Source organism: Homo sapiens, chromosome 11 (genome assembly GCF_000001405.40).
Source record: "Homo sapiens chromosome 11, GRCh38.p14 Primary Assembly".
NCBI lineage: Eukaryota > Metazoa > Chordata > Mammalia > Primates > Hominidae > Homo > Homo sapiens.
This window is the reverse complement of record NC_000011.10, coordinates 128,437,976-128,455,070: the sequence shown is the minus strand read 5'-3', so window position 1 is coordinate 128,455,070 and position 17,095 is coordinate 128,437,976. Positions and strand designations below refer to the sequence as shown.

Below are 17,095 nucleotides of genomic sequence, written 5' to 3'. Positions count from 1 at the left end.
TTTGCTTCACTGGCTAATCATGGAACACGGGTGGGCTGAGGTGAGTGTATGAACTCAGCAGGGTATGGATGGAAGGCGGTGCTAACTCTGGGCACAGATTTCCCATTTAGAGCAGGAAGGGACCAGGTGTGCCATGTGCATGATGGTGGCATGTGTTAGCTGCTCTAGGAACCCATGAGTGTGGCCTCTGTGAAATCTCAGATCAGAGCCCTGATCATAAATTCCAAATAGCCTTCTCTCTGCAACTACAAGTAACAGCCCCAAACCTGAAGCCCAGTCAAGAAAGACAATTAAAATAAGAGTGAGCACACATTCTGGTGTACCTGGAATAGTCTCAGAGTCCATCCCTTGTCCTGGCATAATTACTCAGAGCAGTTCCTGTTGGTCGTACGATACTTTATACAGTCTCCTCATTAAACCCAGTAATGGCCTAGAGGATGATGAGAAGAAGAGCAAATGCCAGAATTCTAAAATTCTACATTTTAGAGTCAAAAGAGACCTTAAAGATTATCTGGTGCAACCTCTTCAATTAGGCATTCATGAATTCAAGGTTTAGAGAGGCCAGAGGACTTGCCCAATGTCACCTCATTAATGACAGAACTGGTACTAGAATGCAGATCTCTCTCTTCCCAGATACCCTTAGCCCTGTCTCTAGTCCCACACTGTACTAAATTTCATCCGATTTCTAGGGAATGCATCCTGATTTAAAGCCGATTTCAGTTGATTCAGTATTGATCATGATAATCATTTCTATTAGTTCTGATGGACACAAGAATCTGCTAAATAATGGTGCTTAGGCTGGGAACAGGAGACTAAGAAAGTTGGATCACTGGGTGGTGGAAGGCCTTATCTCTCTCAGTTTTTAGAAACTGAAAATGCAGAGTCACTGACATCTCACTTTACAGAACTATAGGATGTTATATCTAGAAGGTGCCCTACATAGTGACGCCACCAAGCAAATTTATTCAGATAACAAACATCCCTTGAGCACCTGCCGTGTGGTTGGCATTGGGTTCAGTACAAGGGAAACCATAAGGAAGAAGGTAAACACACTTTTTTTTCCTTCCGTCTACTTCCAGTAAATTACAATTTATAGACAAATAAAGGGGAACACCATCCAGTGAAGTAACAATATGATTTGACACATAGGAGGAACCTAACCTGAAGGAATGTGTGGCCTGCAGGTGAGTAGCAGTTAGTTAAGTGGGGAGGGAAAGAGGTTCCAGTGGTGGGGAATGCATGTCCAGAGGCTGAGAGGTGAGAAAGTGTGTACACTGATGGAGAAACTGGAAGTAGTTTTATGGATCTAGAGCACAGAGTGCAAAAGAGTGTGGGTGTGAGGAGAGGACAGCAAGAATGTGTGGAGATGATCCAGGGCCCTGTGGGCTGTGTGAAGAGTGACGTGGAGTCCTGAGGCTCTTCCAGCAGGCTAAGTCACATGATCCGACCTGTGCTTAGGAAAATCATTCTGACTGTGGAGCAGAACATGAATCAGAGCCAGACAAGGGTGGAGGCAGGGAGACCAGTTGGAAAACTGTTTCATGCTCAGAAGAGTTGCATGCAAGAGAAGCAGCTATGGCACATCAGAGAGGTGTTGAGAACACAGAATCACTAGCCCTGGGTGTCTGGTCGGTGTGGATGGGTGGTGGGCACTGTGCTAGGATGTAGACCTTGGGTGGCATGAAAAGGCAACAATCAAAGTCCCTGTCCTTGGTCTCAGTATCATCAGAGTGTAGATTTTAGATCCAGAGAGAACCTTAGAGGTGAATTCCAGTGTCCTCATTGTATAGACATGGGGTTTCAGGTTAAGGGAGTTTCAGTGATTTCCATGAGATCACATTACTAACCGGTGACAGAGACAGAATTAGAATTTAGGTGTAGTAACTCTAAAGCCAATCCTATGCATTTAATGAGGGTTGGCAGCTTGTTCTTCCAAACACAAGAAAAAAAACAGCCCCTTCCTTTCTTCCTTCCAGCCCTTCCTCCCTCCTTCTCTCTCTCTCTCTTCATTCCTTCCTCTGTTCATTTGTTTGTTCCTTTCTTCCTTCTCCTCTTTCCTCTGGGGACAAGAGCTCTTGGCTTAGAGGAATGGACAGACCTCCCTGCATGACAGCCATAGGCCCTCTCTTCTAATCGCGATCTGTCTCTCCTAGGAGCCCTGGGCATCTGCCTCCACTGCGGCTGTAATTGGAAAGAAAGAAGGTGTTCATTTCTCTATTTCTCTGCTCCAGCTGCTGATCCTCAGTTTCCCCCTAGAGCTGTGTGAGCCCCCTTTGCCAAGTGACCTCTTCACATTACTTCTGGAATCCTGTTTTGGACAGAACAGGTGCCTGTCTGACTAGTACTGTCATACCTTCCAGCCCCAGCTCAGCATTTCTTGCCACTTCTGTACCTTGGTCTCACACTCCTTCTCCTGGGCCGATGGCCACCTGCTTTTTAAATAAATCTTTTGTATTATTCTAGTCCTTGGTGATTCTCCTGTCTCTCATTCATTCCCTTTACTCTCCATCTTGAGTTTCCTCTCTTTGTGTTGCACATCTTGTATTCCTAGAGAGGAAATCTAATAAGCTGAAGAGAAAAGGCAGTCACCTTTAAGACTGTAAAGTAGGTTTTAAATCCTACGTTTTAAATTTTAAACCAGGTGGTAAATCCTGGCCCTGCCATTGTTGAGCATTGTGAACTTGGGTTAAGTTATTTGACTTCTCTGTGCCTGGCTTTTTTCATCTGTGAAATGGGGATAAAAGTACCAACCTTGCAGGACTGACATGGTGATTGCCAATTCATCTGTGTTGGTGCTTGACATTTAGTAAGTGCTATGTAAATGGACTCTATTAGTAAATCTGAAACTGCAGTTCAAGAAAGTCTTTTTCTCCGTTTTTGAGAACTATTTTTTCACTGGACTCCTGGAACAAGAAAAAGACCTCAGCCTTCAGGGTGAGGACTCTGGAGGGCCTGTCTGAAGAGAGAGGAGTGTCTGTTCCCCGCCTTCCCAGCCCTGGACGGGCTCTGGTGCCAAGGCCTCCCTGCCTGCTGCGGCCCTGCTTGCTATTGCAGCTGCAGGTGGGCAGAGCGGCTGGCTTTGGGCGTGGAAAGGCGAAGGCCGTTCCGGCCAGCTCCAGGACTCAGCATTTTCCACTACTCCTCGCTCTGTTTGTTTTGCTCTTCGGGCTGCCCCCGCTGAGCGGGGACTTCTGAATGATGTCCAACAGCAACGCCGGGTCTGCCCGAAGTCCTCGCCCACTCTGGAGCTCCCAGCGCCTCGCGTCTCCTCCCGTTGGCAGGCGGAGGGAAGGGGGCCCGGCCGGCCCATGCAGAGAGCTCTTGCACAAAGTACCATTGTATGGGGCTGGTCTGTGGGAGACAAATGAAAGGGATTTCAAAATCAACAGCAAGTTATTTTTATCCGTGAAAAGGCTGAAATGCCTTTCTTTTCCATCTTGGAAAACAAACCTTAAGGGATCATTGTGCCGCAGAGTGTTTTCATTTACTCTGGTATTTGAGCATTTAGGAGAGAGGCTTCTGAAAGACCTGGACTCAGAAATAAAGAAATCCAGAAAACTGGGCTGCCGCCGCCGACGCACCCCTCCCCTAGGCAGGAGTCCACCGGGGATGGCCCAGAACGCCGCGCTCATGTGGCCCCATGCTTTCGTGCCTTTCTCTTGCCCTCCAGAGTGGGCACCTCCTTCCATCCACCCCACCCACCGGCTCTCCTGTTCACTGGCCCGCTTTTCTCATCCAAACTCTTAGCCTTCTGCATCTGAGTGGGGTCCAATTCAGGAATATGTGACCCCTTCCTGTAAGGCAGGAGTCTCCAAGGCGGGGACTGCCCGCTCCAGGAATTGCGCAGAATAGAACACGAGATAAGGGAAGAAACCATTAGAGCTTCTATTCATAGGTACTTTCAATCTAAAAATGGGAACTACTTTTCTATGTACTAATATTGAATGTATATATGGACCCCGGTACCCTCAGACTCCCACGAGTCATTTGCATCCGTGCGAAGCACTGTGAGGAAAGTGAAATTCTGCAAGGTGGGTGGGGGAGGTCCTACTGGTGCCCTGATTTCTCTTTTAGCATATTATGGTGTTTTATATATATATATATATATATACTTCAAGTTCTGTGATACATGTGCAGAACGTGCAGGTTTGTTACATAGGTATACAGGTGCCATGGTGGTTTGCTGCACCCATCAGCCCATCATCTACATTAGATGTTTCTCCTAATGCTAGCCCTCCCCTAGCCCACCACCCCCTGGTAGGCCCCGGTGTGTAACGTTCCCCTCCTGTGTCCATGTGTTCTCATTGTTCAACTCCCACCTATGAGTGAGAACATGTGGTGTTTGGTTTTCTGTTCTTGTGTTAGTTTGCTGAGAATGATGGTTTCCAGCTTCATCCATGTCCCTGCAAAGGACATGAACTCATCCCTTTATATGGGTGCATAGTATTCCATGGTCTTGCATAAACACAGTGAGTCGATTTACAAACCATATTATCCCATTTTAACCGAATCACTTTTAAAAAATGGAAAAGTGTCTTAAAAATTCTTCTGTAAGGAAACTGGAGATTGTTGACAGCAGGAGCAACTCATGCCCAAGAAGGTAAGAAGAATGCCATATCATTTCTTCTACTCCTGGAACAAATTATTTGCCAGCCATGTATTGAAGCTAAAACAAAAGCAATTTAATTAGATTTCACAAGATCTGGCCAAAAAGTTTTCCAAGTCATGAAGACTACATTAAACATGGATATATATTTATTGTCATTAATGATGATTAGTGCTCTGGGGTATTATATTACCAGGCAATGCTAACAGATATTAGCTAGTGCGTGGAGTTTATAAATAAATAAATATGTCTGTATTGAAGGTGGTTCTTAAAAATGTTTACTGATGGGAGTATAGGGTCAGAAAAGTTTTGAAATGACTGCTGTAAAGGAATATTTGCTGAGGGCCAGCAAGATTTCTGCTGGTGGTGGGAAAAGCCCAACATTTGCAACAGATAAAAATCAGTGTTTAAATTCTGACTCTACCACTCAAGTTTACACACTCAGTTTACTATGTGACTTTGGGAATACATGTAACTTTTCTGAGCCTCAGTTTCCTCAAAATAACAATAGTGACACTTACCCCACAGATCTATTGTGAGGATCAGTGAAATACTTTCTATTGAGGGTCCAGGGTAGAACTTGACATATAGTAAGCAATGCTCAAGAAGTGTTTGACTTCTCCACTCTCCCCTTGCTTCTGCTGGGAAGCTAGGGAAGAGCTGTGGGCTCAAGATGGAGCCCATTCTTGGCAAAAGCCTGCTGGTGGGCCCAGGGAGCTTCCCTCATGACTGAGAAGGTCAGCCTGGATTTTCTAACACATCACTAATGGCCTGTTCTTGGCTCTAAGAGGAGAGGACTGTGTGTGTATGTATTTAAAACCACTTTGGGTAGGCCTTCCTGGTGGCTTCCTAACCAGTATGAAACAAACGGTTATATGTTGGTTTCAGTCCAGTTCCCAGCAGACAATCTTTTTTCAAAAAAACGTATGTGTCAGAAGGTATCACACAACAGGGCCACAACTGGCAGGAAGTAGCCCCCCATTATGCAACTGAGCCAAAGTTCTCAGAAGTGAATGAGCCATGGAAAATTAGAACCCCCCACTGAGCCTGGAGCTTGGTCTCTGCCAGAACATTTGGACAGCCAAGCTATGCTATAAAGAAGGAAAAAAGCAATGTGTATGTATCAGAGGGATGGGGTTCAGTTCTTCTAGTTCCTTTCCCAGGCTCCCATTTTGCACACAAGGATACAAGAAGGATGCTGAAGACATCCTAGTGTGAGAGCCTCAATCTTCCTCTCTACCAACTCTGATCCATATTGCTGCTCAAACTGGGATTCATATTCTCTGGACAAAGCCACATGCAGGCTCTGAGAGAGCACTGACCAGCTTGTATATATGGAGGTCATTACGTGTCAGACTCCCCATTCTCAGCAGTGCTTCAGGCTCCAGCCTTAATCCTAGATCCACTACCCCCTTGCAGTTGGTCCTGGGAGAGATTTTTGGGAGTCAGAGACTCCATTCCAAGCTGAAAGAACTTGATCAATGAATGTTTCCTTCACAGTTGTAAACTGGGAGATGAAGGAAAACAAATGAAGCTGTTAAAGGCCAGGGCTCAGAGTACATTTTCGGAATGGAAAGAGACTATATATAAAGAAATAGCAAAGGAGGAGTGAGCTGGTCTGACTGCAGGGTCTTACCTGAACACAATTCACAGGGAAAACTGCTGTGGCCCATTGCTCCCTGAGCAACCTCATGGGTGTGCTCTCCCACAGCCCATTCCAAACAGGTGACCAACCTGTGAGTCAGGCTTGCCTGGGCTGGAGGCAGCTGATACAGGGAATTCACCATTTCCATTCCCGTAACCTGAAAGCGTTGAACTTTGGTCTCTGAGGTTTCACTCCGACAGGGGACAAAACAACCCTTGTTTTTATAACTTGCCTACAGGTTATAAGGAAGGAACACTTTTCTTCCCTCTCCCACCGGCTGCCATACTTGGTCTTAGGTTTGTTTTTTTTTTTTTTTTTTTTCCTCTGAGCCACCCACCTCTTTCCTTGTCTCAGGTCAGACTTTCTTGGGTTTCAGATTAACTGTGCTTGATTTGTGACTCTGACATTTGGATAATTCACTTTCCCATTTTAATAGTTAACTCCCAGAGTCCAATGTGCCAATTCCTATGCTCGTAGACAGTAATGTATTTCTGGGATTCTTCTATCCTACCAAGCATTCTTTACTCTCTGAATTTCAGAAATCCGTCTTGAGGGCTTAATTCTCTTAGAATCAAAATACCGACTTCAGAAGCAGGCAGACCTAAGATCAAGTTGAGGGTCCTTGGACACATAACCATAAGTCTGAATCACTGTTTTCTCTTTTGCAAATGGGATAATACCTACTTGATAGAGTTGTTATATTGTTTAAATAGAATCATGTAATAAAGTGACTTTTAAAGGACCTGATACATGGCAAATGCCCAATAAATATTTGTTTCCTCTCCTTTATCCATTCTACAAGGTAGAGAGTCCCCCTTAAATTGTTTCATTAAATATTAGTTTTATGTATTTTTAAAAGGTTATATATATTGAAAATTTAGATAACATGAAAATATTCAGAAGCCAATTAGAAAACTACCTGATATTCTTCACTATTGAAATTTTAGTATAAATCTTTTCAGCATTTAATTATGTACACATATATTTGATACCAAACATGATTTTTATAGAGGTAAAATTGATATACAGTGATATGCACAGATTTTGAGCAGTTTGATGAATTTTAATAGGTACATTTGTGTAAGCAATACCCCAGAAAATTCCAATATCCACACCCTACCGTCAATCACTATTCTGATTTCTATTGGCATAGTTTTGCCTGTTCTTGAACTTTATAATTTATGGGCATTGGGTATAGTACTGAAAGGTTTTGCCTCAATAGTAAAGCAAAATTAGCCCGAGAGTAAATGCTGTTCTGTTCCTGCCAAATAAAGCTTAAAGGCAAGACTCGAAAGGGTCAAACTATTTCCAAGTAACTTAACTCAAGAGTATTTTTAGGAATACAAAAATATCCACCCAGTCCACAATGTCTGGCATCCAATAAAGAATTACCAGGCATACTAAGAAGCAGGAAAATATGACCCATAATGAAGAAAAAAATCAGCCAGTTGAAAATTTCCAAGAAATGACACAGACGATAGAATTAGTACCCAAGGACATTAAAAGAGAGTAACAATTTCACATGTTGAAGAAGCTAGAGAAAAGACCAAACATGCCAAATGCGATACAAAAGACCTAAGTCAAAATTCTGCAGTTGAGAGCTATATAACATATGACATGAAAGATACATTGGGTGGGATTAATGGCAGATTCAACACTGTGAAGTCCCAGCATAGAAACGACCCATAATAAAGCACATATAAAATAAAGGGTGCAAAGAAAAATGAGCAGAGTGCCAGTGAGCTGTGGGACAGCTTTAAGTCTCTGAATAAACATCCAGTTGGAGTCCCCAGAGAGGCAGGGTGTGTGATAGAAAAAAAAAAAAATGGAAGCATTATTAATGGCTGAAACTATTCAGAATTTGATTGAAACTATAAACTCACTGATCTAAGAAGCCCCACAAACCCCAAGCACAAGAAACATGAAAAAAAATATGCTAAGTACATCAAGTTGCTTAAAGCCAGTGATAAAAAAGAACTCTTAAAAGAACTCTTAAATGTCTTGAAAGATAAGATATTTTACATACAGAAGATCAAAAGAAAAAATAACAGATTCCTTGTCAAAAACAATTCAAGGAGGAAAACAGTGCATAACATCTTTAAAGCAGTGAAAGTAAAAAAACAGGCAACCTAGAGTTCTATACCAAGGGAAAATAATCTTTTGAAACAAAGACTTTTTCTGACACAAAATATTAAAAGCTTTTATCACCAGCAGAAATATACAAAAAGATTATAAAAGACATCTTTTTTTTTCTTTCTTTCTTTCTTTCTTTTTTTTTTTTTTTTTTTTTGCATGGTCCCATGTTTTTTTGGAGAACCTTTTTCTTTTTTTTTTTTTTTTTTTACTTTTTTATTTGTTTTTATTTTTATTATACTTTAAGTTCTAGGGTACATGTGCACAACATGCAGGTTTCTTACATAGGTATACATGTGCCATGCTGGTTTGCTGCACCCATTAACTCGTCATTTACATTAGGTATTTCTCCTAATGCTATCCCTCCCCCTGGCCCCCACCCCATGACAGGCCCCCATGTGTGATGTTCCCTGCCCTGTGTCCAAGTGTTCTCATTGTTCAGTTCCCACCTAGGAATGAGAACATGCAGTGTTTGGTTTTCTGTCCTTGTGATAGTTTGCTGAGATTGATGGTTTCCAGCTTCATCCATGTCCCTACATAGGACATGAACTCATCCTTTTTTATGGCTGCATAGTATTCCATGGTGTGTATGTGCCACATTTTCTTAATTCAGTCTATCATTGATGGACATTTGGGTTGGATGCAAGTCTTTGCTATTGTGAACAGTGTTGCAATAAACATACGTGTGCATGTGTCTTTATAGTAGCATGATTTATGATCTTTGGGTATATACCCAGTAATGGGATCACTGGGTCAAATGGTATTTCTAGTTCTAGATCCTTGAGGAATTGCCACACTGTCTTCCACAATGGTTGAACTAGTTTAAACTCCCACCAACAGTGTAAAAGTGTTTCTATTTCTCTACATCCTCTCCAGCATCTGTTGTTTCCTGACTTTTTAATGATCACCATTCTAACTGGCGTGAGATGGTATCTCATTGTGGTTTTGATTTGCATTTCTCTGATGACCGGTGATGATGAGCATTTTTTCATGTGTCTGTTGGCTGCATAAATGTCTTCTTTTGAGAAGTGTTTGTTCATTTCCTTTGCCCACTTTTTGATGGGGTTGTTTTTTCTTGTAAATTTGTTTAAGTTCTTTGTAGATTCTGGATATTAGCCCTTTGTCAGGTGGGTAGATTGCCACATTTTCCTCCCATTCGGTAGGTTGCCTGTTCACTCTGATGGTAGTTTCTTTTGCTGTGCAGAAGTGCTTTAGTTTAATTAGATCCCATTTGTCTATTTTGGCTTTTGTTGCCATTGCTTTTGGTGTTTTAGTCATGAAGTCCTTGCCCGTGCCTATGTCCTGAATGGTATTGCCTAGGTTTTCTTCTAGGGTTTTTATGGTTTTAGGTCTAACATTTAAGCCTTTAATCCATCTTGAATTAATTTTTGTATAAGGTGTAAGGAAGGGATCCAGTTTCATCTTTCTACATATGGCTAGCCAGTTTTCCCAGAACTATTTATTAAAAAGGGAATCCTTTCCCCATTTCTTGTTTTTGTCAGGTTTGTCAAAGATCAGATGGTTGTAGATGTGTGGTGTTATACCTGAGACCTATGTTCTGTTCCATTGGTCTATATCTCTGTTTTTGTACCAGTACCATGCTGTTCTGGTTACTGTAGCCTTGTAGTATAGTTTGAAGTCAGGTAGCGTGATGCCTCCAGCTTTTTTTTTTTTTTTGCTTAGGATTGACTTGGCAATGCAGGTTTTTCTTTGTTCCATATGAAATTTAAAGTAGTTTTTTCCAATTCTGTGAAGAAAGTCATTGGTAGCTTGGTGGGGTGGCATTGAATCTATAAATTTACCTTGGGCAGTATGGCCATTTTCACGATATTGATTCTTCCTATCCATGAGCATGGATTGTTCTTCCATTTGTTTATGTCCTTTTTTATTTCGTTGCGCAGTGGTTTGTAGTTCTCCTTGAAGATGTCCTTCACATCCCTTGTAAGTTGGATTCCTAGGTATTTTAATCTCTTTGTAGCAATTGTAAATGGGAGTTCACTCATGATTTGGATCTCTGTTTTTCTGTTATTGGTGTATAGGAATGCTTGTGATTTTTGCACATTGATTTTGTATCCTGAGACTTTGCTGAAGTTACTGATTAGCTTATGGAGATTTTGGGCTGAGATGATGGGGTTTTCTAAATATACAATCATGCCATCTGCAAACAGGGCCAATCTGACTTCCTCTTTTCTTAATTGAATACCCATTATTTCTTTCTCTTGCCTGATTGCCCTGGCCAGAACTTCCAACACTATGTTGAATAGGAGTGGTAAGAGAGGGCATCCCTGATAAAAGACATCTTTCAAGCAGAAGAAAAATGATACCAGATAGAAGTCTGATATACTGGATAGAATTAAGAGCCTTGAAAAAAAATTATGTAGACAAATATATTTTCTCATTTTAAACATTTCATTGAAAACTTGGTTTTTTAAAGCAAACACAGAAACAATGTAATATAGGTCTTATTACATATGTAGAAATAAAAATAATATGTATGACGACAACAGTAGTATAAAATTCAGGAGACAGAGAATGGAAGTACATTGTTGCAAGGTTTTCTAATACGCATGTACAAAGTGGTATAATGTTACTTGAAAGATAACTGTGATAAGTTAAAGACGTAATCAATGACACTATATCAACCACTAAAATAATACAACAAAGGATATACGAAATATTTTTAAAAGTATAATTAACCCAAAAGAAAGCATAGAGGAAAAAGGGAACAAAGAATAATAGATGGAATAAACAGAAAAAACTAGCCAGCTGGTAAATTTAAAACCGATCATATACATATTCACATTAAATACAAAAAGTTTAAACACTTCAAAGTCAAGTCAGAGGTGTCATATTGGATAAAAAGAAAGACTCAACTATATGTTACCTATAAGGAATGCACTTTAAATATACAAACATATTAAAATAAAAAGATGAAAAGTTATATACAATGTTAATACTCATCAAAATAAAGCTAATGAGGCTATATTCATATTAAAAAGTAGGTTTTAAAGCAAAGATTACCAGGGATAAAGAGGGCCATTTAATAATGATAAAGTAGTCGCCTCATCAAGATGATATAACAATCCTAAATATTTACACATATAATAACTGAGCATCAAAATACATGGAGCAAAACTTAAGGAAAAACAAACATATTCACAGTTATAGTCAGAGATTTCAGTAATTGATAGAACATATAGACAGAAAGTCCATAAGTATTTAGAAGATTTGAATAACACTATTAACTAAATTGACCTAACTGACAATTACGGAACATTGCACCCAACAACAACAACCACCGAATATACTTTTTATTTAAGTATTAATGAAACATTTCCCAAGAGAGACCATATGTTGAATGAGAAAACAAATCCCAGTAAATTTAAAAGGAGTCAAGTAATAGAAAATCTGTCCTACAGTAACCACAATTGAATTAAATCAGAAATGAGTGTATCAGAAAGATATCTGGGATATCCCAAGTAGTCTCAAGATAATATTTAAAATAACTCATGGATCATTGACAAAATCAAAAGAGAAACTGGAAAGTATTTGGAACTCGATGAAAATGAAAACAAAATACAAAAAATATGTGAGATGTAGCTCAGGCAGCACTTAGGGGAACATTTATAGAACAAAAAGGTTTCATATTAAAAAAGAAAAACATCTTCAAATCAATGAACTCAGCTTCTGCCTTAAGAAACTAGAAGAATAAAAGCAAATAAAACCCAAAGAAAGGAAAAGACATGAAATGATCAGAGCCAAAATAAATGCACTGGAAAACAGAAAAACAATTGAAAAAAAATCAATGAAATCAGGAGATGGTTCCTTGCAAAACTCATAAAGATCAATAATCTTCTAGCTAGACTTATTAGCACAAAAAGAGAAAAGACAAACTACCAATATCAAAAATGAGAGAGGGGGCATATCTAGTTTCTAAAGATATTAAAATATAACAAGCCAAATAGTACAAACTGTATTATTGCAGTTATATAAAATTCTAGAAAAAAGCAAATTATTCTGTCCTGAGAGAAAACAGATCAGCAGTTGCTGAGGATGGAGGTGCAGGAATAATGGATTATAAAGGGACACAAAGAAACTTCTGGAGTTGATTAAATGTTTGTTATTTTGATTGTGGTGATGGTTTCATGAGTATATACGTATTCAAAAGCTGATCAAATTGTACATTTTATACATGTATGGTTTAATGTACTTTAATTATACCTCAATAAAGTTTCTCTGTAATGTCAGCAGTGGCTGATTAGCTCAGTTGGTTGTTGTCCAGTGTTAATGAGGCCAAGACCACAAGCTCAAGTCATTCATAGCCCAGTTAGCTTTTCTATTCCCAGTAGCAACAAAATGCACCTCTATTTTCCTAAAATTTAAGGTCATTGGGTTAGAGTGTGAATGGCTCAGGGAAACCCATAACCACTACAAGGAAAAAATAATTTCTCGGAGTAAATTGTTTACAGATGATGGATCTTACCAGATTCTTGGTTTACAATGGTGAGCACTGTTTCTTGTTTTCTCTAAAATGGTTTCTAACTAATCCCACTTAATTCTGTATTTCACTTTATCTCTTAACATTAAAGACCAAATTAATCGACACATTAAGAGTAACTATTACTTACATAAGTACATATAAATATTTTCATGTCATTTCTTGGCATCTAAATATCTGTTCTTCCTTTTCCTTCTTTTAAATAAAATTTAAATAGTTTCACTGCGGTATAATTGATACATCATAAGCTGTGCAAATTAAAACGCATAATTTGATAGGGTTTAACTTATTGTACACTGTGAAACTATTACCGCATTAACGCTAATGAACACATCACCCAAAGTTCCCTCTAGCCTTGTGTAATCCCTTCCTCCCACACAGCCCCCCATCTCCATCTCCTGTCCTCAGACAACTGATCTGAATTCTGTCACCATAGATTGGTGTATTAGTCTGTTTTTGCACTGCTATAAAGAACTACTTGAGACTGGGTAATTTATGAAGAAAAGAGGTTTAATTGATTCACAGTTCCGCAGGCTGTACAGGAAACAACCTGTACAGCAGACTGGGAGGCCTCAGGAAACTTACAATCACAATAGAAGGTGAAGTGGAAGCAAGCACCTTCTTCACGTGGTGGCAGGAGCAGAAGAGAGAGAGAGAGAGAGAGAGAGTAAGAGAGAGAGACAGCAAAGGAGGAAGTGCCACACATTTTTAAACCATCAGATCTTGTGAGAACTCACTCACTATCATGAGAAAAGCAAGGGGGAAATCCACCTTCATGATCCATGTCGTCCCACCAGGTTCCTCCCCTAACATTGGGGATTACAATTCAACATGAGACTTGAGTAGGGACACAAAATCAAACCATATCAATGAGTTTTCATTTTCTAGAATTTTGTATAAGTGAAATAATACACGATTTATTCTTTTTTGTCTGGCTTCTTTTCCTGAGCATAATAATTTAGAGATTCATTAAGTGCCTTTATAAATGATTTGTTCCTTTTTATTACCAAGAATAGATACCCCCCGCCCCTCCCAACACATTTATCTGTTGATATATATTTGAATTGTTTTCAATTTTTGGCTATGAACAATCACGTAAAAGTCTCAGCACAGACATGTGTTTGTTTCTCTTGGATAAATACTTAGTGGAATTGCTTGATGATGTGTGTTTAATTTTTCTTGTGACATTAATTTTTCATTTTAGAATAAATTTGAGTTTACAAAAAAATTGAAAGTTAGTACATATACTCCCACAGCCAGTTTTTCTTGCTGTGAAGGTATTACATGAGAATGGTACGTTTTTCACAAGTAACGAACCAATCTTGATACATTATTATTCACTGAAATCCATACGCAACTGATATCCTTAGTTTTTACTCAGTATCTTCTTTCTGTTCTAGAGTCCAATCCAGGATTCTTCATTACATGTGTCTCTAGCTCCTTTTGGCTGTGATAATTTCTCAGACTCTTCTTGTTTTTGATCCCCTTGACTATTTTGAGGGGTACTGATTAGATATTTTGTAGAATGTTTCTCAATTGAGATTTGTCTGATATTTTTCTTATGATTAAATTGTGGTTATACAGTTTTTTAGAATATACGTTCAAATTTTTAGAAACTTGTATGCCATTTTCCATGGTAGTAGTACCATGTTACATTCTCACTAGCAATGTTCAAGAGTTCCAGTTGCTCTTCATCCTGGTCAACACTTGACATGGTCAACATTTTTACATTTAGATCTTGTAATGAATATGATATCATTGTGGTTTTAAGTTGCATTTTCCTAATTACAATGATGTTTGGCACTTTTTCATATGCTGATTGGAGATTCTTATATCTTCTGTATAGTGTTCCAACCTTTTGCCATTGTCTTCTCCTTGATATATTTTTGAATATATTTTTATTTTATTTTTGTCAAATATATGTGCATAAATATGTTCTCACAGTCTGTGACTTGCCTTTTAATTTTCTTAATGGTATCTTTTGAAGAACAAATTTCTTTTCATTTTAATGAAGTTCAATTTATTAGTTTTCTCTTCTGTGGTTCAGGTTTTTGGTATTATATCTAGAAATATCTTGCTTAATGCAAATTTTTTCTACTATGTTTACTTATAAAAGTTTTACTATGTTTACTTACAAAAGAGTTAGGTTTTACATTTAGGTCTATGATTCATTTGAATTAATTTTTGTGTATGGTTGAGTACAGATCAAATTTAATTTTTTGCATGCAGATATTTAATTGGTTTACTACCATTTGTTGAAAAGATTTTATTATGTTTTTCAAAAATCAATTGAATAAATATGCATTAGTCTATTTCTGAAGCTTTTATGCTCTTCTGATCTATATGTCTATATAGTCCTCTGACTGATCTGTCTATTTTGTTCACCAATTCCAAACTATCTTGGGTAATGTCATTTTATAGTAAACTTTTGTATTCAGTAGGGTAAATCCTCCAACTTTGTGTGTATGTATTTTCTTTTGTTTTAATGAAAATTGATTTGACCCTCTGCATTTCCATACAAACTTTAGAATCCACTTGTCCATTTCTACAAAGGAGCCTGATAAAATTTTGATTGATATTACATTTAACCTATAGATCACTTTGCAAAGAATTTCAATTTTAACAACATTTGGTCTTCCTATCTATAAGTGTGGTACACCTTACTATGTATTTTAGTCTTTAATTTCTCTCAGGAACATTTTAGTCTTTTCAGTGTAGAGCTCCTGGGAATCTTTTGTTAGATTTATTATTAGACATATCTTCTGGCAACACTGTAAATGTAATTTAAAAATATATACTTTCTATTGTTTGCTGTTATTGTATAAGAATAACATTGATTTTTGTATGTTAACCCTATATCCTACAATCATGCTAAATTTATTCATTAGTTTTAAAATTCCTCCGCTTTTACTGACATAAAAAGTCATATCATCCACAAACAGGAACATGTTTGCTTCTTCCTTTTCAATTATTACATCTTCTTTTTCATTTTTTGGCCTTTATTGCAATGTCTAGGGCCATTGATAATTTTTGGATATCATTTGTATGATGAAAAATGAAGTGCACTCCCAGTGGCCTTTTGAACTCCCTTCATCCTCTGACTTTTACTCAAAATACTACCAAATAGATTAAAAGCACTGATTAAAAATTAGTCTCTTATACTTACAAATGTAAGAACACGAACAGATTTAGTGCAAAGATGGACAAATATTTTTGTTGTGCCAAGAATACAATAATGGAGTATGTAGCATGTGATATGTTAATACCTACTATTTGCATGTTATTTCATGAATTTGAAGATACTTTTGTATCTTACACATAAGTGTACATAAAATAGTAAACACAAAATTCCAGGGATGTAGCCAGTTTGATGTTTTAAAAATCCAGCTTCTGGTGGCAGTGTAGATTTTTTTCATAACAAGTCATGGGAAATAACCATTAAGTGATGATATTTGGTGAAATAAGGAAGATCCTACGGTCTAACTCAGTATAACATATTCACCCAAAACTAAAAACCTCCAGCTCTGAGTTGCAGCATTAATAAAAGAAACAAGCAATCACAGTGGGCATACTCAAGAGTTCTCAGAGAAGAGTTACCTTTCTAGAACTTGCTCATATTTCTGTAGTGGCTTATAAGAATAGAAAAATCAGTCTTCGTTTTGAGCACTTGCCAAAAAGTTTTTGCAGTTAGTACGGCCTTATTCAAAGAAATGACCATCTTGACAAGCATTAGTGATGATCATTATGAGACACAGAAGAAGCTTAGTGGCAGTGAAAAAAAAAATGGAATCAGAATTAGGATACTGAAAGTTCCCTTAGCCAACAAGCAAAACTTGGTATTAACTGCCCAACGTGTGGCTATATCTGCTGTTATTGGTAGAAAAGTGCATGTGTGTTTGCATGTCTGTTGACCGTTTGTGTATAGTTCATTCCATACCTTGAATGTAACTTGTTTGATAACTAATTCTTTTTGTTGACTTTTACACATCTTGAATTACTGTATTAGCCTCTAACACTCAATCTAAGTACAGCCATCTGATACTTGCTGTCAAGATCAATAGGTAGGAGGGGGTACCTTTTAGGTGCTCTGCCTGTCTCACTTTCCCACACATCATTACATTTTCCCACTACATTTATCTGAGCACCTTTGGAATTTCTGGCTATAAAGCTAAAAAAGTTCTAATTTTCTCATCTGTAGAAATTGGAATAATAG

General features: G+C 38.3%; 1 long non-coding RNA gene across 1 annotated transcript in view, besides 2 other annotated features; it reads right to left on the bottom strand.

The window, feature by feature from the left end:
* Window positions 1-940: 940 nt before the first annotated feature.
* The window catches only part of LOC124902789 (uncharacterized), a 40,983-nt gene continuing 24,828 nt past the window's right edge, over window positions 941-17,095 (bottom strand). Inside the window, exon 2 of the long non-coding RNA XR_007062948.1 lies at window positions 941-3,351. This is a non-coding gene — a long non-coding RNA (uncharacterized LOC124902789). The remainder of the gene's footprint in view (window positions 3,352-17,095) is intronic.
* Window positions 2,770-2,949: an enhancer, noted in NCBI's record as "active region_5715". NCBI's record gives its function as "activates an Ori minimal core promoter by ATAC-STARR-seq in GM12878 lymphoblastoid cells {active_cell/tissue: GM12878}" and the evidence as "EXISTENCE:reporter gene assay evidence [ECO:0000049][PMID:35858748]".
* Window positions 5,606-6,805: an enhancer, noted in NCBI's record as "P300/CBP strongly-dependent group 1 enhancer chr11:128318161-128319360 (GRCh37/hg19 assembly coordinates)". NCBI's record gives its function as "activates an origin of replication core promoter dependent on BRD2, BRD4, P300/CBP, MED14 and CDK7 cofactors, with strong dependence on P300/CBP, by STARR-seq in HCT116 cells {active_cell/tissue: HCT116}" and the evidence as "EXISTENCE:reporter gene assay evidence [ECO:0000049][PMID:35650434]".